This window comes from Homo sapiens, chromosome 3 (assembly GCF_000001405.40).
Source record: "Homo sapiens chromosome 3, GRCh38.p14 Primary Assembly".
NCBI lineage: Eukaryota > Metazoa > Chordata > Mammalia > Primates > Hominidae > Homo > Homo sapiens.
The window spans coordinates 66,175,777-66,202,540 of record NC_000003.12 but is presented as its reverse complement, the minus strand read 5'-3'; the positions used below and the strand labels follow the sequence as shown (position 1 = coordinate 66,202,540).

Below are 26,764 nucleotides of genomic sequence, written 5' to 3'. Positions count from 1 at the left end.
TTTTTTTTTCATTTTACTTTAAGTTCTCGGATACATGTGTAGAATATGCAGGTTTGTTACATAGGTATACACATGCTGTGGTCATTTGCTGCACCCATGAAGCCATCATCTAGGTTTTAAGCCCCACATGCATTTGGTATTTCTTCTAATGCTATCCGTCCCCTTGCACCCGCACCCCCATGACAGGCCCCAGTGTGTGATGTACCCCTCCCTATATGCATGTCTTCTCATTGTTCAACTCCCACTTATGAGTGAGAACATGTGGTGTTTGGTTTTCTGTTCCTGTGTTAGTTTACTGAGAATGATGGCTTCCAGCTTTATCCATGTCCCTGCAAAGGACATGAATTCATTCTTTTTTATAGCTGCACAGTTTCCAAGGTATATATATGCCACATTTTCTTTATCCAGTCTATCACTGAGGGGCATTTGGGTTGGTTCCAAGTCTTTGCTATTGTAAATAGTGCTGCAATAAACATACATGTGTGTGTCTTTATAGTAGAATGATTTATAATCCTTTGGGTATATCATTTTTTTCTTTCTTAAATGATCTTTTGTTGGCAGCTTCCTTGATTTCATGGCTTTGTAGCAGTTTTCATTTACTTCTGCTTTCACTCTTTTGTCCTATGTAGCGTAAAGTACTCTATATTGCATCTGTCTTTCTTAGGTTTTGGTAGTTTAATCGTGAAACTCTCTGTCTTGCCCATTCAGAGCTATGGTGCTTATGGTTGCAAAAGAAATAGTCATTTATTTTGTTGATGATAGAGCTTAAAACCAACTCAGAAATGTCTCAGCAACATCAATTCCTTATATGCAACATGCAGGCACAGTATTTGTAGTGAAGGATTAAAAATTGTTAACTCACTTGACAAGTTTAAAACAGAGTCTATCTATCTAGAAAAGGTTCCTTTTAAAAACAAATCATTACACCTATAACCTTAGGATTTTGGGAGGGTGAAGTGGACAGCTCGATTGGGCCCAGGAGTTTTAGACCAGCCTGAACAACGTGGTGAAACCCCATCTCTATTTAAAAAAATAAAAAATTAGCCAGGTATAGTGGCACGTGCCCATAGTCACAGCTACTTGGGAGGCTGAGGTGGTAGGATCACCTGAGCCTGGGGAGACTGAGGCTGTAGTGAGATGTTATTGCACCACTGCACTCCAGCCTGGGTGACAGACCCTGTCTTTAAAAAAAATTATATATACACACATATGTATATAAACAATCTTTATATATATCAACATATATTTTGTTAAGGTATGTATAACAATATAATATATAACTATATGTAACTACATATTATATATGAAGTGTATATATAAAATATATATATAAACAATCATTACCATTTCTTTTCCTTTGTCCTAATTTCTTAACTTATTTGCCTCATTTCTTACTGGTCTCATTTCCCCTGGTAAGGAGGAAAAAGGAGTGCAGTCAAGAAACAATGATTATGACAAAGAACAGTCAGTCCATTGTCTTTCTTCCACCCTTACCATTGCCTCTTCTTGTGAATTGCTGCATGCAGAAATATCAGTCTTTTTCTCATAGTGATTATACGGTACTAGACTAACTCCTTTGTGCCACAGCACCCTGGGGCTGTGTCTGGCACATAGGGAGTACTCTGTAATCTTAGGGATATTTCCCCCACTTAGTCAGTTGCTTGTTTAGTTCAGTGGCATTTTCTCGGGAAGCAGTTACCAATGAAAACCTTATCCAACATGAACTCTCAAAGGTTTATACCACCTCTGTAAGTAATTTCTGATTTTGATTTCTATTTTATAAGATACATAACTCTGTGGCCTATAAAACCAATTTTCCAATTGCTAAAAATAGCTTTTATGAAAATAGCTACTGAAAACATAAGTACAGGTTTGCTTGCTAGCTTTCTTCTGTGGGAGACCATGAAAGTACCCTGATCATTTATCTCTTTTGCTCTTATAAGGTATGGCTAATATGTGTATGGTCATTCTCTATGGAGATCCATTGGCAGAGCAACCACAATAAGCAGTAACCAGTGTATAGTCTTTGTAATACCTTTTATTTAAGAAAATGATGCTAAAAGGATCCATTGTGATGGCCATGACACTTGGATCCATAGCTGTGAGCCATGAGCCAAGAACTGTGACCACATCCTTGTGGTCTGTATGCTGTGCCACCCACCATTCTTCACTGCCTGGATTGTGCAGCCAGCTGGCTTACCCCACCCGGCACCTGCCAGGGAAAAGGTAGTAAAGACGAGAGGCAGTAGGTGCAGCCAAGCACAACAGCAGTCTCCTTGGCCAGCCAGGAGGCCCTTTTAGGGTGCTAGAATCAGTTTGGAATCCTGGGAAAGTTTACATTTTTAGCCCTCTAATTCATCGACTGCCATAGGGATAATTTGCCAAAGTAACAAAAAAGAGTAGTAATAGCCACTATATATTTGTTTATATTTTTTACCTCATTGTAATAGATCATATTAACATGAATCAAAGCAGTATATTTGAAAATAAGCAGCAAAAGTTTAGGCAAGTTGGTAAATGTCCATAATTCTGAAAATTATTTTCATATTGCAAGTTACAAAAGATCTAGATGAAACTAGAATGTGTGTGCATAGATCATGGTCATACTCAGCTTAGTGATGAGGGTGCATGTCATGGTTAGGGTGTAGTTGAAGGTCACAATCAGAGTCAATGCAGCTCTGGTCAGGGTTAGGATCAACTCTGCATAAGGATCAGGTGTCAGGTGTAGGGTAAAAGTAAGATTCAACTCAGGGTCATGATGAGGGTCAGGGAAAGGGTCATGACAGGGTGCAGCTGGGGGTCAGGATCAATATCATGGTGAGAGTAAGCTTCAATTTCATGATGAGGGTCAGGATGAAGTTGAGGCCAGTGAAGGGTTTAGTGTCACAATGAAGGTAAAGAAGGGTCAGGTACAGATTCAGGATCAGTATCAGAGGGTTAAGGTCAGAGTCAAGATGAAGGCCAGTGTACATTTCAGGGTCAGTTTTAGTATAGTTGTCAGTGCCAGGGACAGGGTCAGGTTGAGGATTGAGGTCACTGTCAGGGTCATGGTCAATGGGGACAAGTAAGAGTCAACGTTCAAAGGAGGCTGAAAGTCAGTGTCAGGGCCAGGATAAGGGTTAGGATCATAGTCAACATGAGAGTGACAGTGAGGTTTAGGATAAGAGTCATTGTTCAGGGAAGGGTAGGGGTGAGAGTCCAAGTCAGGATGAGGGTCAGAGTCAGTTTCAGTGTCAACATGAGGTAAGAGTCCATGTGTGATTTAGATCACAGTCAAGGTCATGGTCAGGGTAAAGGTAGGGTGAGAGTCAGGTTCAGGGTAGGGGTAGTGTCAGGGTCAGAGTCAGCATCAGGATCAAAGTCAGGGTGATGGTCAGAGGTAGGGCAGGGTCAAGTAAGGTACAAGGGTTGGGGGATGAGAGACAGTGTCAGGGTGACATCAGGTTTGAGTCAGATTTGAGGGTAAGGATCATGAGAAGGGGGAGGATGAGTATCAAGATCAGAGTAAGGGTCAGGCTCAAGATCTCAGAACAAAGGTCAGAGTCACGGCCATGGTTAGGGTTGGGGTCACATGGAGGGTCAGTGCCAAGTCAGGTCAAGGTCAAGATCAGGGTCAGGGTGAGGGTCAAGATACAGATCAAGGTCAAGATCAGTCAGGGAATGGGTCAGGGTCAAAACGCGTGTGAAGGTCAGAGTGAGAAGAGAGTCAAGGTAAGGGTCAGGGTCAAAGTGTGCCACTGGGAACGTGAGGGTAAGAGTTAGTGTGAGGATGAGGATCAGGGTTAGGCTGATGGTAAAGATGAGGGTAAAGGACAGGTTAAGGTTAAGGTGAAGATGCGGGTCGGATTCAGTGTCAGGGTGAGTGTCACAGTGAGTGCCGGAGTTAGGATGTGGGTTGAGGTCAAGTGAGGTGTCAGGGACATGGTGAGGGTGAGTGTCTGGGTGAGAGTAATGTAGAGGGTGTGGGTGGGATCAGCCTCAGGGTCATGGTGGGGAATAGAGTCTTGGTGTGGGTGAGCATCAGGGTCAGGTGCAGGGTCAGGATGGACAGCATGAGGGCAAAATTCTAGGTCAAGGCAAGGTCCTAGTGAGGGTCACTATGAAGGTCAGACGCACATGAGGGTCAAGAGTAAATGGACATATGACCACTATGTCCCTGACATTCACTCCGTTCATGAACTGCAGTGTCTTGGTGAGGATGAGAGCTACCATTAGGGCAAGAGTCATGTTAACAGACATGAGTTTCAGGCTCAGTGTCAGGCTGAGTGTCAGGTTAAGTTTGAGGGGTCAACTTGACCCTGACTGTGCCCAGAACCTCAATTATCATCCTGTTCTGAAAACACCCTGACCTAGACAGTGATCCTGAAGCTGACTCTGACCCAGATAATACTCTTACACTGACCCTAATCCTGCACTTGACTCTGGACTTTTCCTGACCCTAACCTTCACTCTGACCTTCACCATGATGCTGGCTGACCTTGACCGTCAGCCTGACGCTGACCCTGACTATCAAGCTGACACTTTCTCTGACATATACACTCACCCTTAACCTTATCCTTATGCTTATCCTGATGCTCTCTGACCCTGATCCTGTCTATGACCATCACTTGTCCTTGGCCCTTCCTCTGATCCTCATGCTGACTCTGAGCTGACTTTACCCTGAATCTAACCCTGATTTTCTCCCTGAATTTTATTGTCAGATTCACCATTTTTATAACTGTGAGCCTTACCCTTACACATATACTGACTCAGAATCTCCCTCTCATCTCACAATAACCCTGTCTTGCACCTGACTCTGACCTTGACCTTCAGCCTCACACTGACTTTACTTCTGACCATGAACCTGACACGCAAACTCACCCACCTCTGACCCCTAATTCCTACTCTTTCTCTAAACCAGACACTCAAGTTCACCCTGCATTTGACATTACCACTCATCCTATTCTCACATTGACCTTGACCCTTGCTTACTTAGCCTGACAATTATTTCAATCCTCATCCTTATCCTTAACCTAACCCTGACCCTGACCCCATCCCTGATCTTTTCTAATGTTGATACTGACCCTCACCTGATGTTGATCTGACCTTGAAGCTGAGCCTGAGACTTATCCTGATCCTTTCATTGTAACACTCCACTTGATGCTGATCCTTATATTGAAACTTACTCTGAATTTCACCATGACCCAACCTTGACACTCACCCTTACCCTGAACTTATCCGTCACTATGTCCCTGATGCCTATCCTCATACAGACTCTGACACTGACCTTCACCCTGAATCTGACCGATACTCATTGTGTAAGGTCAGGTACACAATGTATATATATATATCTGAGTTTAGGTTGGCAAACAGAAGTAATATTGAAAAAAATTCATATTGGGGCAAACCAGCTCAGCCTTCTTACACATTACTCTCAAATGAAACTTCTTATTGCTTTTTAGAGTAAACTGACATAAACATAAGGACAGCAAAACATACTACTTTCAAAGGCGCATTCTTACTAAAATAAAAAAATATACAAAAGACCACATATAAGCCATATTTTAACTGACCCTTATTTATTAAATTATCAGTGAATTAACAAAATATGCCTTGGATGATAATACATATATGCTTGTATTTGCCTTCTCAAAACTTTTAATTAATATAAGATAATGCTTATTAAAAAATGACCCAGATGGTTTTTAACTTTCTGTCCTCTAGGTGTCTCTTATGTCTACAGAAAAAGAAAGAAAAGGCTGATTAATTCAAGATAATAATTAATGTAGATGGTTGATTATATAGGGTATAAGAATTACAGAAAGAGTTTCTAATTGATTTCTTATTAGTTTTTTTAAAGTTATTGCAGTTAATTCACATAATAATTTAATTTGATATAGATTGTTTTATTTAATATACTGATAAATTCTATTTTAAGGCTATAGTTAAACACTTTATTATTTAATAATGTGTTGTATATCCACAAAATAGCTAATCTAGAATTAGCTCCACTTTCTAACAATACCAAATCTAGAGCAAAACCCTCACTTCCTTAGACCCTTCCCCAAGTCACCCAACAAAAGATTACATTCTATAACAGGTACTTTCTGACGCCTTTTTACTGAGACACCCTGTAGTTCCCAGTGGTGTGCATTCTCCCCCAATGCAAGCCATAATAAGCCCAATTTATTCATCTCAGGTATGTGCCTAGGGGGTCTTTGACACAAGGACACTGACAAGTTGAGTGCATAGATACGCACAGAAGCTGCGAAGTCAGCATGACCAGGGCTGGATCCCTTGTTTTTGCCTTTTCAAAATTTTAAAATACTGGAAGATAAATTCTTATGAACAAATAAGTTGGATGGTTTTAAACTTTCTGTCCCCTGGGTTTTCCTTATGTCTAGAGAAAAAAAACAGACTGATTACTTACTTAAAGATAGTAATTAATGTAGATATTGATTAAACTGAGTATAAAGATTGCAGAGATAAAAGTCTATGCAGAGGATAAATGTATTTTCAATAGTCAGAAACCTATTTTTATGTTTGTACACGTGTGTCTGCCTAAATTCATACAAATAAATGTATATCAATAGCTCCTACGCTTGATCTTAGCCAAAAGGCGGACAAGCAATATCAATAGTTCCTTTACTACAATTTGTTACATAAATAATTTGCCAAGTGAATAATTAGAATTTAGGTCTTCCATGTAAATTTACCAAATATTTTTATCCCCAGATCAATAGAGGTTTCTTTTGTCACCAAATTATTCTGTTAATTCTCAATGCTTTTTGCATATTCTTCAACCATTCTTTTGAGACTCCTTTGGATAGTGTTGACCTAATTTTATTTGTTCATATTTTAAAATGCCGGCACCTACTGTAATACACCCCTAAAATACGGACCACACAACCAGAAGATGGAGACGCCGAGCGCGTGCGCTCCTCGCTCGGCAGCACCACCCATCAGCCAGACGCTAGCCCGAGGGCCTGCCCGGCGCAAGCGCACTTGCTTGAAGGAACAGGTGGTGGGAATCTGGTTTTTAGCTGAGCCTCCAACCCTGCCTCCTGTGTCGTTCTTCCTACTGAGGAAAGAAGAGGATGCAGCAGATCTCCCCGTTAATCCCTAATCCTTGTCAGGCCGTTGCAGCAGGCACTCCCGGGGCTGCGGATGGCTCCCTACCGCGGGTTCCTGGAGAACAGCAATTTGGCAGCAGCTGCACCTGGAATAGTCTGTGCATGCTCAATAGTTGGGCAGGGGGCTTTTCCCCCAAAGATCAGCACAGGACAGGGTCAAAGGGATTACAGCGGGTGTTTCCTAGCAACGGTGAGTCCTGCCCACTGCAGATTCTGGGTAGGGGGTATGGGGCGGAGGCTACTCTCTGAAAACTTTGCCAAGAGTGGCAGTACAGCATAATTGCGAGCATGCGTTGGGGAGCAGTGGGAAGGTGACTTATGCCAAAAGAACTAAATTGCAGGATTCCGGGTGCATTAAACTTGAAATCCGTGACTGGGTCACTGGTAAAGGAGGTGGGATTGGGGTGGGCAGACAGCTCTGTTTCACCTCCCTCCCTTCCCCACCAAGGGGAGGAGTGGGTGAGTGGCTGGGTGGGGACCCCAGGTAGACCACAGGGTCCAACCACCCGTTCCTTTAAGCAAGTTTTGGGCCCGGCGCGGTGTCTCACGCCTGTAATCCCAGCACTTTGGGAGGCCGAGGAGGGCGGATCACCTGGGGTCGGGAGTCCGAGACCAGCCTGGCCAACACGAAGAAACCCCGTCTCTACTAAAAATACAAAATTAGCTGGGCGTGGTGGCGCATGCCTGTAATCCCAGCTATGCGGGAGGCTGACTCAGGAGAATCACTTGAACGGGCGCGGAGGTTGCGATGAGCCGAGATCGTGCCATTGCACTCCAGCCTGGGCGACAAGAGCGTAACTCCGTCTCAAAAAAAGAGTTTTCATCCTTGCAGAATAAGGACCCTAGAGAGGGTTGATTTTAGATATGAAAGCTAATAGTAATGCTTTCTGCCATGGGAGTTTAAGAGGTTTTGAGAGCTTTGCTAATTTTAGTTATAAAATTCCATTCGTTCTCTCTGTTCATCTTGAGGACTACAGATGATAAGGACAGTGAAGTTTCTGTGTAAAAGTACTTCAGTGCAGTTCTAGTAAAATGAGCACCTCTGTCATTGGAGAGATAAATGGGAATTCCCCAGGTGGGAAAACAAAACCAAGCCATCCCCTGAACCCTTTCAACCCCCAACCCAGCATGGAATAGCTTTCCAGCAAGGAAAAACTTCAGTCCACCCTGAGAATAAATACACAATGAGCAAAACATATTTATAATTCATTGTAAAAGGTATTTGTATGAAGTCCATTTGGAGGTATTTAAAGGGGCATAGAGGCTTTGATTCCTGTCCATGAGCCCACCTTGGCAGTTTATCAGGATGTGTCACTGGCAGATAAGACACATTTTCAAACACATCCTTGGCAGCTACATCTAAAATTAAGCCACCAGTGTTGGTCTAATATTGTTGTCAACTTATCGTTCCTTTATGGTTACATCATGAAGAATTTTCGTTAAGCTCCATTTTCAAGTGTTGAGGCACGCTCAGTTGACCATCCTGGTGATCATCTAATGATCATCCTAAATTGAATTAGAGACTTGTTTCTGACAGTTAGGAACAGCCTCTCTGAATTTCTCCAAGACTTTTCTTGTCCGTGTGATGATAGGACTGTTTATCTAGGTTAATATTGTTTGTTTAGCATAGGGGCCAGCCAAAGCATTACCATGAGTTTCTAGGTCTTGTCTTTTCAATGACTGTGTTTTTATGATAGCTGTTTTCTTAGGTAATAGCAAAGCATCTAAAAGTTCTTTAATTTGTCATTTAATTGGTGTAAGTTTTTTTTTTCAAGGTTAGAAACATCTCTGTTTCTAAACAATTCTGAATTTGTGGACTACCCCCAAAACACATTTACTATCAGCATAAATAATTGCTTATTTATTTATTTGTGAGCTGCCAAGCCCAGATAAGGACAATGATGTTAGTTATCTGAACTGATTTAATTTCTGGAAGTTGTCTATGTTTTAAGGGTGAATTTCACTCCATGATAGCATTTTAACTTTGATCAAATAAAATTAGGTCAAGGTTATCCAAGGGAATCTCTGATGATAGTTGTAGAGAATACAAAAGCAGTAGAACAATTTGTTGACAAAAAAAGGAACCTCTGTTGACCTGGGCATAAAATAAGTCACCTCATGCAAAAGACCTAAATTCTAATTTTATTCTTTTGGTATATTATTTATATAACAAATTGTAGTAAAGGATATATTCCCTTTTTGTATGCATCAAGACATACAAATATAAATAGGTAATAATTTAAAGTTTTAAACTATAGCTTTAAAGCATAATTGTCAGTATACTAAATAAAGCAGTATGTATTATATTAAATTTATTATATGAGTGAACTACACAACTTTTAAAAATATACAAACAGAAAATCCTATATATACATACCTGTATCTCTCTGCAATCCTTGTACCTAGTATAACGAACTGTCTTTGTTAATTACTATCTCTAATTAAGGGAATATTTCTTTTCTTTCTTTTTTTTTCCTCCAGACATAGGAGACATCTACAGGATAGAAAGTAAAAAACTGCCTAGGTAATTTTTCATGAGCATTTATCTCATGTTAATTAAAAGCTTTGAGAAGGCAAATATACACAAATATGTCTTATTATCCAAAGGCATTTACATATTTTGTTAACCCACTGACATTTTAAGAAGGAAGAGACAATTAAAATGAGGTTTAATAAACAGTGTATTTTTATCTTTTTTCTTTCTAGTAAGAATGTGCCTTTGATATGTATTTTACTGTCTTATCATTTATCTTGCTTTACTCTGAGAAGCAATAAGGACTTCTAATAGGAATGTCTGAGGCCGAGCCTGATTGTACTACTACAAATTCTTTTTAATACTACTACTTAGATTCATTCTCCTTTGCTCTGTTGCGTTAGTCAATTGGGCTGCTATAACAGAATACCGTAGACTGAGTGGCTGAAACAACAGACATTTATTTCTCACAGTTCTGGAGGCTGGGAAGTCCAAAATCAATGCACCAGCAGATCCCGTATCTGGAGAAAGCCCTCTACCTTGCTTACAGGTAACTGTCTTCTCATACCCTCGCATGCTGGAGGGTCGAGAGAGGGAGCAAATTCTGCAATTTCTCTCTCTTTTTTTTTTTTTTTTTTGTGACATGGAGTCTTGCTCTGTTGCCTAGGCTGGAGTGCAGTGGTGCAATCTCGGCTCACTGCAACCTCCGCCTCCCAGGTGCAAGCGATTCTCCTGCCTCAGCCTCCTGAGTAGCTGGGATTACAGGCACCCACCACCACACCCAGCTAATTTTTGTATTTTTAGTAGAGATGGGGTTTAACCATTACTGGACATGCTGGTCTCGAACTCCTGACCTCGTGATCTGCCTGCCTCGGCCTCTCAAAGTGCTGGGATTACAGGCGTGAGCCATTGCACCTGGCCTATTGGAATCTCTTTTTATAAAGGCACTAAACCCATTCAGGAAGGCTCCACTTTCAGGACCTAGAGGCCCCATTTCCTAATACCATCAGATTGGGGGTTAGAATTTTAACTTTTTTTTTTTATTATTTGAGACAGAGTCTTGCTCTGTCACCCAGGCTGGAGTGCAGTAGCACAATCTTGGCTCACCACAACCTCCGCTCACCGCAACCTCCACCTCCTGGGCTCAAGCAATTATCTTGCCTCAGCCTCCCAAGTAGCTAGGATTACAGGCACGTGCCACTACTGCCTGGCTAATTTCTGTATTTTTAGTAGAGATGGAGTTTCACCATGTTGGCCAGTCTGGTCTTGAACTCCTGACCTCAAATGATCCACCCACCTCACCCTCCCAAAGTGCTGGGATTACAGGCATGAGGTACTGCAGCCAGCCAGGATTTTAACTTACAAATTTGGGGGGAACACAAACATTCAGTCTATACCTACCTTGAAAAAAAAGAATACACCTTTTAGATGGATATGTGTTGTTCTTCTTACATTCATCTTAGTTTACTGCAGGAAACAATAAGGAGATATTTTTGAGAGGAATGTCTAAAACTGAGTTTGCTGATGCTAATACAGATTCTGTGTGCGTGTGTGTCTGTGTGTGTCAGGGACTCATTCTGTCACCCAGGCTGGAGTGCAGTGGCACAGTCACAGCTCACTGCAGCCTCAACCTCCTGGATTCAGTCAATACTCCCGCCTCAGACTCCTGAGTAGCTGGAACTACAGGTGTGTGTTACCATACCTGGCTAGTTTTTTGTATTTTTGTAGAGATGGRGTTTCGCCACATTGCCCAGGCCAGTGGATTCTTTTCAGTACTTCTGCTTAGACTCGTCCTTATTATTGTCCCTTACAGTAGGGCTGTGCCTTTGCAATGAATGACACATACTCATATGTGCTTATGTCCATCTCAGTTTACCCTAAGAAGCAATAAAGTTTCTTTTGAGAGGAATGTCTGAAACTGAGCTTATATGCACTAATACAGATTGTTTTCAATGCTACCTCTGTTTGCCTAAACCAAGATGTATTTAAGATTTATTTGACTCCAAAAAACTCAGAAACTCATATTCATCTTGATTACAATTTCTTCCTGTGAATCAGAACAAGATAAGAGGAACCTATGCTATATATGTGAAAATGAGTTCATATTTACACACTGTCCTCAACAGTAATTTCTTGCGAGTTAAAGCAGATATCATTGAAAATTGTATTTATGTGAACAGACTAGCATTAAAGAAAAAATCAGACACTTGTCTCTAAAGAAAATTCTGGTCAGGCACAGTGGCTCATGCCTGTAATCCCAGCATTTTGGGAGGCTGAGGCGGGTCAATCACCTGAGGCCAGGAGTTTGAGACCAGCCTGGCCAACATGGTGAAACCCCATCTCTACTAAAAATACAAAAATTAACCAGGTGCGGGTGTGCACACCTGTAATCCCAGCTACTTGGGAGGCTGAGGCAGGAAAATCACTGGAACCCAGGAGGCAGAGGTTGTAGTGAGCCGAGACTGTGCCACTGCACTCTAGCCTGGGTGACGGAGTGATACTCCATCTCAAAAAAATAAATAAAATAGATAAAATTCTTAACTGTTAGCATTAACCTATGCTTTACCTGAGGCAAATCAATAAGAACTACACATTTTTCTCAACTGCAGTTTCTTTCTTTTCTTTTTTTCTTTTTTTTTTTTTGACAGGGTTTCACTCTGTTGTCCAGGCTGGAGTGCAGTGGTGCAATCTCAGCTCACTGCAACCTTTACCTCCCAAGCTCAATCTATCCTCCCACTTCAGCCTCCCAAGTAGCTGGAACTACAGGTTTATGCCGCCATATTTGGCTAATTTTTTAAAATTAGTTTTTGTAGATGGCTTTTCACCATGTTGCCCAGCCTGGTCTCAAACTTCTGGACTCAAGCAATCCACCTGCCTCGGCCTCCCAAAGTGCCGGGATTCCAGGCCTGAGCCACTGCACCCAGCCTCAACTGTAGTTTCTTACTTTGAGGGAGACCACATATCAAAGCAGCATATTTGAAAAATACAGTAGGCTGGGTGCAGTGGCTCACTCCTGTAATCCCAGTACTTTGAGAAGCTGAGGTGAGAGGATCACTTGAACTGAGGAGTTCCAGACCAGCCTGGGCAACATGGTAAGACCTTGTCTCTATTTAAAAAAAAAAATTAATTACCTAGGAGTGGTGGTGCATGCCTGTAGTCCCAGCCACTCAGGAGGCTGAGGAGGGAAAGTCGCTTGAGCCCAGGAGGTTGAGGCTGCAGTGAGCCATGATCATACCAATGCACTCCCACTTGGGCAACAGAGCAAGATCCTGTCTGAAAAGAAAAGAGAAAAGAAAAGAAAGCACACAGTACATGTGTAAACAAGTTGAGAATTAGTTCTCAAAAGCACATTCTTATTGAGAACAGTAAGAAATCCAAAAGAAACTAGAGTGTGAGTGTATAAGATTTCATGTTCAAACTCAACTTGGTGATGGTTAGGTCATTATTAGAGTCAGAATCATTATAAGGGTCAGGGTGACAATAAGGGTCAGAGAGAGGGGGTCACAGACAGGGAGAGGTTAAGCGTAAATGTCATGATGATGGTGAGCTTTAGGATATGGTAAGTGTCAGGAGCAGTATCACAATCAGTATTAGGATCAGCATCTGAGGGTGTATTTGGGGATCAAGTTGGGGGTCAGGGTCAGTGAGGGGGTTAGTGATAGGGTGAGGTGCAGAGGGTCTGGTACAGGGTCAGAGTGAGAGTGGGTGTATATTTCAGAGTCAGTGTCAGGGTGATGGTTAAGGTCAGGGTCAGGGTCAACATAAGGGTCAGTATGAGGGTTGGAGTAAGAATGAGGTCAAATAAGGGTCAGTGTATGAATGAAGTTCAAGGCCAGGTGAGGTTTAGGATCAGGATCAAGGTGAAAGTGAAGATGAGGCACAGGCACAGTCATTGTTCAGGGGAGAAATGATGTGTGTATCTAGATGAGGAGTATCCAGATGTGAGTTGGGATGAGGAATCCAATCAGGTTCAGCATCGTTGTGAGGTAAGAATTAAAGATTAGGGTCATTGTAAGGATCAGGCATCACAATAGGGTGAGGGTCAGGTTCAAGGTAAGGGTGGTGTAAAGGTCAAGGCTAGGGCATCAGGTTCAGCGTGACGAACAGGGTCTGGTCAGGTTGATTATCAAGGACAGTAATGTTTGAAGAGTAAGGGAGTCAGATACAGTGCCAGGGTGTTAATCGTGGTGGGGGTGGGGCTAAGTACCAGGTCAGTGTCTTAGTCCATTTTGTGTTGTTATAAACGAAAACCTGAGGGCTGGGTAATTTATAAAGAAAAGGGGTTTAATTGGCTCACAGTTCCGCAGACTATACAAAAAACATGGCACTAGCATCTGCTTCTGGCAAGAGCCTCAGGCTGCCTCCACTCATAGAAGAAGGCAAAGGGGAGTCACATGTGCAGAGATCACATGGAGAGAGAGGGAGTGAGGGAGAGTAGAAGGGGAGGTACCGGGCTCCTTTTAACAACCAGATCTCATGGGAACTAATAGAGCAAGAACTCACTCATTCCCCTCCTTCCCTCTGCATACTCCAGGAAGGGCATTAATCTGTTCATGAGGGATTTACCCCCATGACCAAAACAACCTACACTAGACCCCACCTCCAACACTGAGGATCAAATTTCAAAATGAGGTTTGGAGGAGACAAACTTTCAAATCATTGTAGTCAGAAACTTGATAAATATAAGGGTCTGGGTCAGAGAAAGTTTGGGGTTGCAGGTGAAGATCAGCATCAGGATCATGGTGAGGAGTAAAGTCAGGATGAAGGTAGGGACAAGGTCAAGCACGGGATCAAGGACATGGTGAGGTCATGATACATTTGAGGGTTCAGGTTAGGGTTTGTATCAAGATTACAGTGAGTGAGAGGATTAGAGTGACGTTCAGTGTTAGCTGAGTCTCAGGGTCAAGATGATCATGAGGATAGGGTTCTAAGTCAAGGTCAGAGACATGGTAATAGTGAGGAGGGTCATAGTCAGCATGGCAGCCAATATCAGGTATGTGGTGAGGGATAGGTTCAGGGTGAGAATAAAAGTTAGAGTCTGGGTTGCGTCATGACGATGTTCAGGGTAAGCTTCAGCTTCAGAGTCTTTTCATTCTCAAGATAAGGGTTAATATTAGATTGAGGGTCAAAGTGAGGGTCAGGGTCATTGTGAGGGTCAGCATAAGGGCCATGATCAGGATGAGTCTCAGGGACAAGGTCCAGTTCATAGTCAAGGTGTTGGTCAGGGTGTGGGTGTGTGTGAGTGTAGGGGTTATGGTCAGGGTCAAGTTATATGGAAATAGAAGGATTGATGAGAATGTCATTGGTACAGTTAGGGTCAAGGTTTGCATGAGGGTTTCAGAGGAAAGATTAGGTTGACTGTCAGGGTCAGTTAAGGTTCAGGGTAAAGTTCAGGGCCAGGGTAAGGGTAGAGTCAGGGTGATAGCATGAATATCAGGGTCTTTGTGTGAGTCACTATCAGAGTGAGGATTACTATAAGGATAAGGGTAAGTTTCAAGATGTGGGTCATATGCAGGGTGATGGCCAAATCCGAGTAAGGGTAAAGATGAGAGTTAGGTGCAAGTCAGGTTCAGAGTGAGAATAAGAGTCATCATAAAGGTCCAATTCTGGATGAGGCCTGGGTGAGTATACGATTTGATCCAAGGTCAGAATCACTTTCAGGTGAGGGTCAGGGGAAGGGTAAGGCTGTGTGTGAAGGTCAAGGTGAAGGTGAAGATCACACTCAAGATCAGGTTCAGCGACATGATAAGGATCATGGATGGTGTCATGGTGAGGGTCAGGGTCAAGGTCAAGATGCAAAACAGTTCAGGGTAAGGTCAGAAAAGTATCTGGTTGAGGATCAGGGTCAGGGTCAAGATTAAGATTGGAGTTGGCCAAGGCTCTGGGTGAAGTTGAGGATCAGGGCTGATGTGAGAATAGTATCCATATCATGGTCAGCTTGAGTGTCAGAATCAGGTCAAGATGTTGGTCAGGTCAGGGTGATAATCAGGGCCAGGATCATGATAAGGTTAGGGCCAAGTAGAGGGTGAGGATCAGGTAGAGGTTAAAGTTCACAAGCAAGCTCAGGGACATGGTCAGGTCAGGGTTAAGGTTAGAGTGAATATCAGAGTCTTGCTGAGTGTCATGGATAAAGTCAAAGTCAGGCTCAGGGCCATGGTGAGACTCAAAGTCAGGTTGAGTGTCAGTTCAGTGTGAAGGTCAGGGTCAGGGTAAGAGTGAGAGTCATGATATGACTCAGGGTAAGAGTAAGGATGAAGGTGGTCAGGGTTATGGTCAGTATCAAGTTCAGTCAGCTCAGGTTTGGGGATATGGTGAGGGTCCCAATTGTTTTCATATTTATGATCTGGGTCAGATTGATGGTCAAGTTCAAATTTATGGTCAGGTTTAGGATAAGGATCAGGTTAAGGGTCAGTGTCAGGGTAAAGGTTAGGGTCAGGTAAGGTTCAGGATCAATGTCAGAGTGCTGGTCAGGGTCAGAGTGATGATTAAGGTGAGGTTGAGGRATAAGATAAAGGTCAAGTTCAGCAGCAGGGAGGTCAGTCAGTTTCAAGGTGTCATCATGGTCAGATTTCATTTAAGGTCAATGGAGAAAGGGAAGATAATGGTCAGGAACAAGTTGAGGGTCAGATTCAGAGTCCAGTTTAGGGTCAGGGTCAGAGTGAGATAATATCATGATGATGACAGTCAGTATGAAAGGTTGAGGGTCAGGGTCTTCATAAGGGTGGAAATCAGGGTCAGTGTGAGGGTCATGTTTAGGATAAGGGACAAGATAGAGGGTCAATATCACGCGGGTTTAGGTTAAGGATCAGAGTAAGTATCGGGTGGCCAGAATGAAGAATAGGGTCAGGTATGCATCAGGGTCTTGGTTAGTATCAGGCTTATTGTGAGGGTGAGAATCAGAATCGGTGTCAGGATGCGTGTCAGGGTCAGAATCATGGACAGGGTCATGGTGAGGGTCAGGGTCATGTTCTGTGTGAGGATAAGGGTCAGCTTTAGTCTTGACATCAGGGTGAATGTGAAGGTAAAATCATGGTGAGGTAAGGGTTAAGTTGAGGTCTGATTCATGGTAAAGGTCTGAAAAAGATCAAAGTAAAAGTCTAGTTCAAATTTAGATACAGGGTAGGGGTTAATTTCAGGGTCTAAGTCATGGTCAAAGAGAGGTGAGAGTCAGGGTGAATGTAAGTATATGTATAAAATACAGAGTCAGGGTCAGTGTGAGGTTAATAGTATGGGCCACGGTCAGGCTCTAGCACAGTGTAAGGACATGGTAAAAGTCAAGACAGTGCCATGGTTAGGGTCAGCATGATAGTCACATTCAGGGTGAAGTTCAGGTTAAAAATCAGGTAGAAGGTCATTGTTAAGGTCAGGATGTAGGACAGGGTCAGGTAAAGTTCAGCATAAAAGATAGGGTCACAGCCGCTATGGAAAACAATATGGTTGGTTCCTCAAAAAATTAAAAATTACTAGATGATCCAGCAATTCTACTTCTAGGTATATATACAGAAGAATTGAAAGTAGGGTCTCAAAGAGATACTTGAACGCTCATGTTTATAGAAGCATTATTCACAACAGGCAAAAGGTAGAAGCAACCCAAGTGTCCATGGACAGATGAATGGATAAATAAAATGTGGTATATACCGAATATTATTCAGCCTTAAAAAGGAAGGGAATTCTGACACATGCTACTACATGGATGAATCTCAAGGTTATTATACTAAGTGAAATGATCCAGTCACCAAAGGACAAATACTGTATGATTCCACCTATATACTTAGATTACTCAAAATTATAGAGACAGAAACTATGATGGTGGTTGCCAGGGTCTGGGAAAGGAAAAAAGAGGGAGTTGTTATTTAACGGGTACAGAGTTTCAGTTTTGTGAGATGAAAAGAGTTCTGGAGATTGGTTGCACAACAACGTGAATGTACTTAGTGCCACTGAACTGTATACTTTAAAATGTTTAAGATGGTAAATTTTATATTACATTTATTTTACCACAACTTTTTAAAGCCAGACTCAGTATAGTCAGTTTGATGATCAGTGTGAATGTCAGAGTCTTGGTGAGAGTCAGTGTCAGGTTGACGGTCAGGATCAGGGTCAAAGTTGAGTTGTTGGTCAGGGTCACGACCAGGGACAGGTTGAAATTTAAGTTTAGGGTAACTTTAGAGGGGTGGGATGGTTAGAGTCAATGTCAGCATGATATCAGAGTCAGAGATACTTTTAGGGGCAGGATCATGGACACAAGATGAGAGCAAGAGGGAGGGCCAGATGAGGGCCAATTTTAGGGTGAACATCAGAATAAAGGTCAGGGTCAGGTTTAGAGTGAGGATTTGGTTGAGCATGTAATACATAGTAAACTCAAGGTGAGCAGAGTCAGGTGAACATAACGGTCCTGATGAGGATGAGTGTCTGGCCCAGCTAAAGTGTTAGGGTAGTGGTGAAGTAGAATCATTTGATGGTCACTGTGAGTGTCAGGGTCTTTTCAAGGTCATAGTGATGATCAGGACAAGGATAAGGGTCAGAATTTGGGTCAGGTTCAGGGTGAGGATGAATTTAAGACCAGTATGATAGGGTGATGGTCTGGGTCAGGGTCGGGATTGAGTCACTGTTCATATCAGGGTGAGGGTAAGGGCTACAGTCAGGGTCATAGCTTCATCAGGGTCATGATGAGGGTGGGAAAGTCCAAGGGTCAGAGTTATGGTGAGGTTCAGGGTGAAAGTCAGTGTCAGAGACAGGTTTTGGGTTAGGGACAAATTCAGAGTGAGGGTAAGGGTCAGAATAAGTATTAGAGCTGTGGTAAGAGTGAGGATGAGAAATTGAGAGACAGTGGCAGATTCAGGGTCTCAGTCACGGGGAGGGTGTGGAGCAGGGTCTTCTGAAGGTTAAAGTTTAGGGTGGGGTTCAGAGACAGGGCCAGATTTATGGTCAGGTTCAAGGTGAGTGTGAAAGGGTAAGGGTAAGAGTATGGGTCAACACCAGTGTGAGAATGAAAATTAGTGTCAGACTGAGTGTCTAGTAGGTTAGGGGTAAGGGTCAGAGTCAACATTAGATAAGTGTCAGGTTCAAATTAAGGTTTGGGAAAAAATTAAGGTAAGGGTCAGACAAAGCTCAGGGTGAGGGTGAGGATGAAGGTAGAATCAGGGTAAGAGCCAAGTTCAGGGTCAGGTGCTTATTTAGCATCACGTTCAGTGTCAAGCTCAGGTCATGGTGAGAATCAGTGTGAGGTTCAGGTTAAGGGTCAGAGTTCAGTCAGGAAGAGAGTCATGTGAGTATCTAGATCAAGGTCAGGGTCAAGATCGTGATGAAGGTCAGATTCAGGATCTGAGTAATTGTGAATGTCATGGTGAGGATTAAGGTCAGATTCAGAAGGAGTGTGAGGTATATGTCCAGGGTCAACATCACGATAAAGGTCAATGTCAGCATCAGGGTAAGGGGTAGGGTTAAATTGAGAGGGTAAGTGTGAGGGTCAGAGTCAGCGTGAGGGCCATATGTTCGGGGACACGGTGAGAGTCAGGTTCAAGATTAGGATCAGATTCAGGGTGAGCATAGGGTTAGCCTCAGAGTTAGAGTCTGCCTATAGACAAGTTCATTGTGAGGGTGAGAATCTGAGTCCATGTCAGGGTCAGAGTCTGGGTGAGCATAGCTGAGAGTCATGGTAGTGTGAGAAACAGGATGAAGGACAAGGTCATGTCCTGTGTCAGAGTGAATGGCAGGCCAGGCTGAGGCTATGGTTCAACAGGAGGCTCAAAATCAGGGTCAGGGTCAGCGAAAGGATTAGGTTCAGGGTCAGCTTCAGGCTGAGGGTCAGGTCAAGGTCAGGGTGTGGGTCAGAGTCTGGGGAAATGCAAGGCCAAGGGTCACCAACACTTTTTGGGTATTTGTTGTATAGAATAACCAAAACACACCCTAGGCCTTAGAGGTGCATTATTTATATGCACCGAAAGCCAACAGCTGCTTCATTGATCCTCCGCATCCCCTGCTGTCCAACCTACTACTTTAGGTCCTTGGAAAGACCGACCTGAAGAACCCTGGCTCTTAGGAAGCCATCTAGAACAGCAGGAGTATCTGCTTTTGTGTTCCAAATGCCTCCCCAGTTGCATCCTTCAGGCTCATTGAGCTAGTGACCTGGGGTTGGTCCCAGCCTCCTAAAGGCACATTTTAATTCTCTTTATTAGGAGCAGAGGACGACTTGTCAGAGATTCCCTGGTCTTTTCTACTGATACCCCACCCCCCCCCCCCGCCGCCCACTGCAGGTTGAGGCCGATGCTGGGCTCAGCCAATCCTGTTATAAGCATTAGATCTTGTGCCAGCGACTTCTCTTGTTGCCTCATCTGTAAAATAGGGGAGTTAGGTTTTATGGCCTTTTCAAACTCTATGGGAACCTTTCAAGCATTGACTCCTTGCAACTTTTAGGCCTTGCTTCTTTTCTGAAGACTCTATGAAACAGTGTTTTCCAGCTTTTTAGATTCAAATCCCTAATGGCTAAAAATACACGGTGATGATCTCAGCTCTCACAATTCAGAGGCCGCCTCCCGTTTCATTGGGAATTGCCATAACTCTTACATAATCCCAAAGGTCAAAAAGGTTCTGGACAGCTTTAATTTCTATAGTTTGTACTATGAGAATAACAGCTTTTGGGGGACATTTTTCTAAATAACAAATTGCAATATGAAATCTGCTTTTTCAAACACCGCGCCCTACCACTCACTCCCTAGGAGAGCCCAACAAACTTCCTCAGGCTGTCATTTTCAGGTCTCTTCTCACCTCCCATTTGGGAATTTCTGCTCTCGAATCATTTAAAGATATTGATTATCTGCTCCACCACGGACCCTGTTCTCTTTCTTTTTGTCCTAGTTGCCTGTGCTTCGTGTCAGTTTTCAGATAAGAAAAGAGAGTGCTGTCAAGGCTCTATTTATAATATATCCTTGAAAGCCAAGTGCTGTCTTTGAGCTAAAACAAGGCAAGGCCACCCTTAGGGAGAATGAGAGCCCTCAATGCCCAAATGTGGGCACACGGGCACGCTCCCAGGCAGGCTTGCTCATGCACACACACACAACATCCAGGTCCAAACGAACAAGAGAAAAGACACGCAGGTCCAGGGAAAGAAGAGGAAATGCCTGGAATGTGATAGAAACTCAATACATGTTTGGTGAAAAAAAAAAAAAAAAAAAAAAAGACAAGGGGAGGGGATCAGGGAAGGAGGAATTCAGAGGGACTGCAAATTTAGTGAGGAAAGCACTGAAGTTGGAGTCAGGGGATCTGGATTTGAAGCCTGGCTCTACTTTTCTTAGAAATTTGAGCTTGGACAAGTTCCTTTCCTCTCTGAATTTTGGTTTCTTCCTCCCTTGAGTGGGTGTAAGATTTCCTTCCCAACTAATCTCATAAGATTGCTGTAAAAATCAAATGAAATAATAGCTATGGAAGTACTTTGTAAACTGAAACTACTATAAACAAATGAGGTGCTCAGTGTCGTAGCTAGCATTTTTTAGGGTGCCGTTTGCCAGTAACTACGACATGCTCTGTATACATTAAAGTATTTAACCTCACAACAATCTTGCAGATATAAGCTGTTATTGTTACTCTCCTACAGATGAGGAAACATAAAGACACAAAGTAATTTGCTGGAGGTCACACTACTAGTAAGTGATCAACTGGGATTTGAACCAGGCCTACCTTAGTCCAGCAGCCAATTCTTTTAACCACTCCACTACCTGCTAGGCCTTAATATGTATCCAATGCCTTGTCACATACACAAGTGAACTTCAATCTGCCTTTCAGTGTTAAAAGACATTGTATTAGTTGCCTAGAACTGCCAAACAGAATACCACAGACCAAGCAGCTTAAAGAACAGAAATTTATTTTTTCACAGTACTGAAGGCTGCAAGTCCAAGATCAAGGTACCAGCAGGGTTGGTTTCTGGTGAAGGCTCTCTTCCTGGCTTGCAGACAGCTGCCCTCTCCTTGTGTCCTCCCATGGCCTTTTTCCTGTGTATGTACACTCCTGGTGTCTCTTTCTCTTCTTATAAGGACACCAGTCCTATTGGATTAGGTCCCCACTCTTGCAAGCTCATTAAACCTTAATTACATCCTTATGGCCCTGTCTCCAAATACAGTCACACTGGGGGTTAGGGCTTCAACACATGAATCTGAGGGGGACACGTTTCATTCCATAACAGACAAGCAATAGATAAATACTCCAAAAAATAAAAAGTTTGTCTACTTCCCCTCTCTGTCCCCCACCCCGCCCCCAGTGAAGGATTTTTTAAAAAAATCTCATCAGGTCAACAACAGGCACTGCAGCAAAATTTTTCAGCTCTGACTTCTGCCCAGATAACTTGCTCTCCCATAATGCCAAGCAGCTCTGCTGTGAAGGAACGAAGCAAGTTTTGTGCAAAACATTGAACATGTTTCTGTTCTCTGCCTCCTGCTCAAGAGCATTCTGAAGAAGTGGAAAGATCTGTCCCACCTTTCCCTCTTGCCAGCCATTCCTATTTATAGTTTCTGATGCTGGTGGGTCTGAAGGAGTCAAGAGTTTTGAAATCACTTCCGTTGCTCTGCGGCATGTTCCCTGCCCCTGCATTGGCTTCTCCTAGGCCATTAGAAACTTATTATTTCTGGTTCCCATGTGGTAGGGGTTGGGGTCAAAGGGAGACAGAGAAAGAAAGATTTGCAGCATGCAAAAGTGTGGGTTCTTTTTTTTAAAAAAGCCTCAGAGGAAAATAAATTGTGGTTGTATCCCCGTAGTGTTTTCTGTTTAGGTCTGCTCATAACTACGCCTCCCAGTCTGTTCCTGGAAACCTAGAGAAAAAGTTTTAGGTTGACTTCATCCTTGAATCCTACTTCACAGAGATGCTGATGAATCTGAGGGCAAAGAGAGAAAGGCAAGAGGAGTTTGTTGCCTGGATGCCAGAAGCCAGTAAAGGGTTTTGCAATGCATCTCCCTATTCCTGGCGGCACATGATAAATTACCAGCATCAATCTATCTAACAGTATCAGACTTCAGAACTTGTGAGTCATATGTTCATGGCATTGCTTTGTGCAAATAGATACTGTAACTATGCATCAATCTGGCACATTTTATGAATATTTATCAAAATGTTCTCTTGTCTCCCAGCATGTATATTAATAACAATAATACTAAATAATACCAAGTTGCAGCCATGCACAAGACTCCAAACTCTGGATTTAGTTTGCAAATGTAATGAAGGCTATTTGTAATCATAACAAGAAAAAAAAAAGCCCAGTAACAAGAAGTTCTTATGGAAGATAAACTAAAGCGTATATGTTATAGTTCTATAGAGGGACGATAGAGGAAATATAGAAGTATAGTTGAACTTGATTTATTCCCAGTAAAAATTCTGCATTGGAAAGAACAGAAATTCTTTACTTTGAGAACCTTATCTATGTGACTGTGAACTAAGTCATATCCCATATTTACTCTCACAGTGCTAATCTTACATTTTCGGAAAATAAATTAGATATACTCTTTAAATTTCTCTGTTAGCTGGACTTACATTGCCTTATGAATTTGAGGGGGAAACGTTTCATAATGTTGCCATAGTCAACAAGGAGACTTCTGAGTGTCTGAAGATACAGCAAGACTAACGCATAGTTGCATTTCAAATCAACACACATTAAATTAGAAAAAACATCTGGAGAAACATATCAATATCAAATCGGCAATTTTGCTTGGAGCTTGATGCTACATTTATAGGTCATCTTAATTTTTTTCAAAGCTTTGAACTTGCCAAATTTCATTTAAAAACATTTAAAGCTGCTTTAACTTTTTATCTAATTTGGGAAAACTTTAAAACGCGTAAGAGAGAAAAATATGACAAATGTTCTTGTATCTCCCAACTAAAACAAGCTAATGTTAACAATTTTTTCAGCTGTCCTTTCAATCTTTGCTTTCAAATATATGACAAAACGTACAGATAAAGCTGAAATCCTCTCTATGCTGCTTGCAAGCCTCATGTTCCTGTCTGCCTCCCCAAAGCCACCACCACCAGGAATTTGGAAAACATCCTTTGACCACAAATATGAGCAGCCATTGATAACGTAAGATATTGCTTTGTGTGTCTTTAAACAATTATATACATACCTGACGGTATCATTCTTCAACTTAATTTTTCCTTCTGCATTATACTTTCTTGAAGGTTTTCTTTCTATGTTACTTGCTGGCGTTTAAAAATTTTTAATTTTTAAAACAATTTCCATCTCTTTAATTAGCAGGACAAGATGATTCATAACGTTAACAAATCAAAGTAACTGAGAGACATCTAGAATCTCAACACCTTACAGAATGTTATCAGGGAATGCTACTCCCTCGATGTCTCAGTTTGGGACTCCCTAAGATAAGGACTTGTATGCTCTTAGTCTATCAGGAGAACCCAGAAAGTAAGAGTGAGGGAAGTGGGGCGGTGGGCAGTGGAAGCCAATATAAATGTACATTACTGAAACTGCTACTGAGCTTGGACAACAAGGGACAACGTCTGTCAGTACCTCACGAAAAGTGCACCAAACGCTGCCCAGAAACGCTGCCCCAGGAGGCGGGGATGGAACCTTCATCTGCCAGCTCCTCTTCCCCATTGGTTGAAGATGGCCTCAGGGCACTGACTTCCCCACACTTCAGACTATCCCTTCCATGAGCCAGGAAGGCTTCAGAACAGGTGCTGAAGGAAAACAGGAAAGAAACACAGTGCACACTTCCCTGGGGCTCAGTCACCCACCTAGAACTGTTGGGCCATCTGAACCTGGCCTCCAGCTAGGACCATTGAAGCTGGACAACAGCTAGTAGCAGGCCTCTGTCTTCCTTACACATGAATCTGACTTGACTATATGGAGTAGTGCTGCCCTGCTTCCTGAAATTCAACGAATGATGGGGAGAGTAAGTTTTCCAATTCCCACGAGCTGTCTCAGTTAGAAAATTCCAAACAAGGGGTCGCCATCTTTGAAGTCACCCATCTCTTACAGCCCCAAACAAACACACACACAATATCAATGCTATTTACGCCATTCATCTTTCCACATTCTTTTCTGTATGTAGAATAAAAGAGCAGCTGCCCAGCAGCATGAAAAAGTCAACACCTTTCTGGGTGGCCTATACCAGATTACAGTTCAAGGGAATGAGCCACATGTATTTCTAAAATTCCAGCGCATAGTAGATGCTCAGTAAATTTACGGTAAAGTGTTGACTCCTACTTCATATCTAAAAAGTCAGCTTTACTTTGCATTACTCTTCAAAGGATGAGTCCACAACCTAAGGTGGTTTCATACAGTGTTCAGGTCCCTTATTTATCTCACTCCTTCCCATCCCCTGGGCAGTCACAGGACAGACGATGGGTGTGTTGTGAGAAATAAAGGGACCCACAGCATAGGCTCTACATAGGGCAAAAGGCAACAGTGGGGATTTAATGTGAGGTGGAGGGGGAACAAGGAGTTGGTAAGGAAGAGGTCAGTAGCTCAAAGGGTGAGTGGGAGAAACTAGGAAGTGTTGTGGGTTGTTGCTGATGAAAACTTTCCGTATCTTCACAATTGCTAGGAGTCTGCTGTGATTCTCTTTATGTGCAAAACTCCATTCTTTCCAGTCATCTCTCTGGAATAATTTCTATATTCAGAGCCTTCTTGTTACTTGTCATTGTCACTCAGATTGCTTAAACTTACATGATAATCTATTGTGTTCAGTCCAACTATGTCAGCATTGCCAACATTCTGCAGGGCAGAGAACATGTCAGCTGACTTCACTGTGGTGCCCAGCGTATTTGCAGTTCTCAGTGAACCCAGTTAACTGCCCATTCCCTCAACCCAGATGGCCTTTCTTTTGATTAAACATATGAGGCTTCCAATGCCAAAGGGAGACAGAGGATGATAGTTATTTTCTGGAAGACTCCAGCCATAATCTCACTTTTGCCTAAGTGTGATTTTGTTTACCTTAATTGCCTTTGTAGCTAGAGGGAGACTTTACTCTATAGGGCCAGAAAAAGACCTACGAAGGTTATTTATCATCAGGATAACAGGCTTAATTATCTGTTAGAAATAGAGACTAGATCCCTCTACCCTTTCATGCTGTCTCTGGGAAGAAGGTCGATTTCCCAGGGCCTTCCCTTTTCATCTCACCACCTTTCACCCCTTCCCCAATTAAGGCAACCAAAAATAAAACACTCATCGGATTCTACAAATCAGGAGAGGACCCTTAGGAGAAATAACAATATGAGGTGTCTTTTGCGTCCCATCCACAAATAATACCTTTTATGTTATTGGTTAGGTATGATCTGATGTTAGACTTTCAAACCATGAGTCAAGTAAACACAAAAGTCTGAGACTTGCTAAACTCTAACACCCTGTTTTCTGGCTACCGTTTTTTCCCCTCAATAGTCTCAATTTTTAGGTAATATCCTGTAACTGCAAATAGGTTTTAGAAGACTGATTTGATTTTTTTTAGTTAATCAATAAGGTTCAAATGTATTTTTGATTTACTAGGCTGCGAGGCATACACTGCATTTATATTAGAGCTGAGCATTATAGGAAGCAAGGACTGTCACTTCTAAAGGATGCCACCATCCACACACTTCCTCTGTGTTTTCCCCCTTCTGGCTACAAGAGCGTTCATCATTCCTAGTTCTTTATGCTTATATAACATCTCAACACTTTCTTAGTTTCGATGGAAGACACCAGAATATTTTTTTCTTAAAGAACTCTGTGCTATAGATATGCATAGATGGCTTTTCAAAACAATTAATTAGAGATGTAGCTTATTCTTGTACTCCATACCAAACATACAATGAAACACTACCCTAACAACTGGGTAGGGTACCAATTTCAAGATTAAAAGCATTAGCCAGGTGTGTTTTTTCAAAGATTCCATTTTTCCAAACATCATGTTCAAGCAAAAGGATCAAGTGCATTGATGGTTTTCTAATTATTAAAGGAAATTTTTTTTTTAATTTAACAACCATTACTGTTTTGCTGAGTGGTTCCTGTTGATAGATATTATGCCATGTCTGTATGGGTGATAATTAATTTTATGTGTCAACTTGGCAGGGCCATGGATGCCCAGATATTTGGTCAAACAGTATTCTCAGATGAGGTTAACATTTAAACCAGTGCACTGAGTGAAACAGATAGTCCGCCCTAATGTGTGTGGGCCTCATGCAATCAGTTGAAGGCCTGAATAGAACAGA

The 26,764-nt window shown here is 42.4% G+C and overlaps 1 protein-coding gene and 1 long non-coding RNA gene across 3 annotated transcripts in view; one reads left to right on the top strand and one right to left on the bottom strand.

Moving 5' to 3' along the window:
* SLC25A26 (solute carrier family 25 member 26) overlaps positions 1–26,764 on the bottom strand; it is a 245,318-nt gene that overhangs the window by 176,387 nt on the left and 42,167 nt on the right. The gene's annotated exons all lie outside the window — the stretch shown is intronic.
* On the top strand, positions 7,046–25,440 carry LOC107986095 (uncharacterized). 2 transcript variants are annotated; one of them, XR_001740742.2, is made up of 4 exons: positions 7,046–7,302; positions 9,594–9,636; positions 23,474–23,642; positions 23,814–25,440. It is a non-coding gene; the product is annotated as an uncharacterized LOC107986095 (long non-coding RNA). The 2 variants fall into 2 exon arrangements; XR_007095953.1 differs by lacking the exon at positions 9,594–9,636.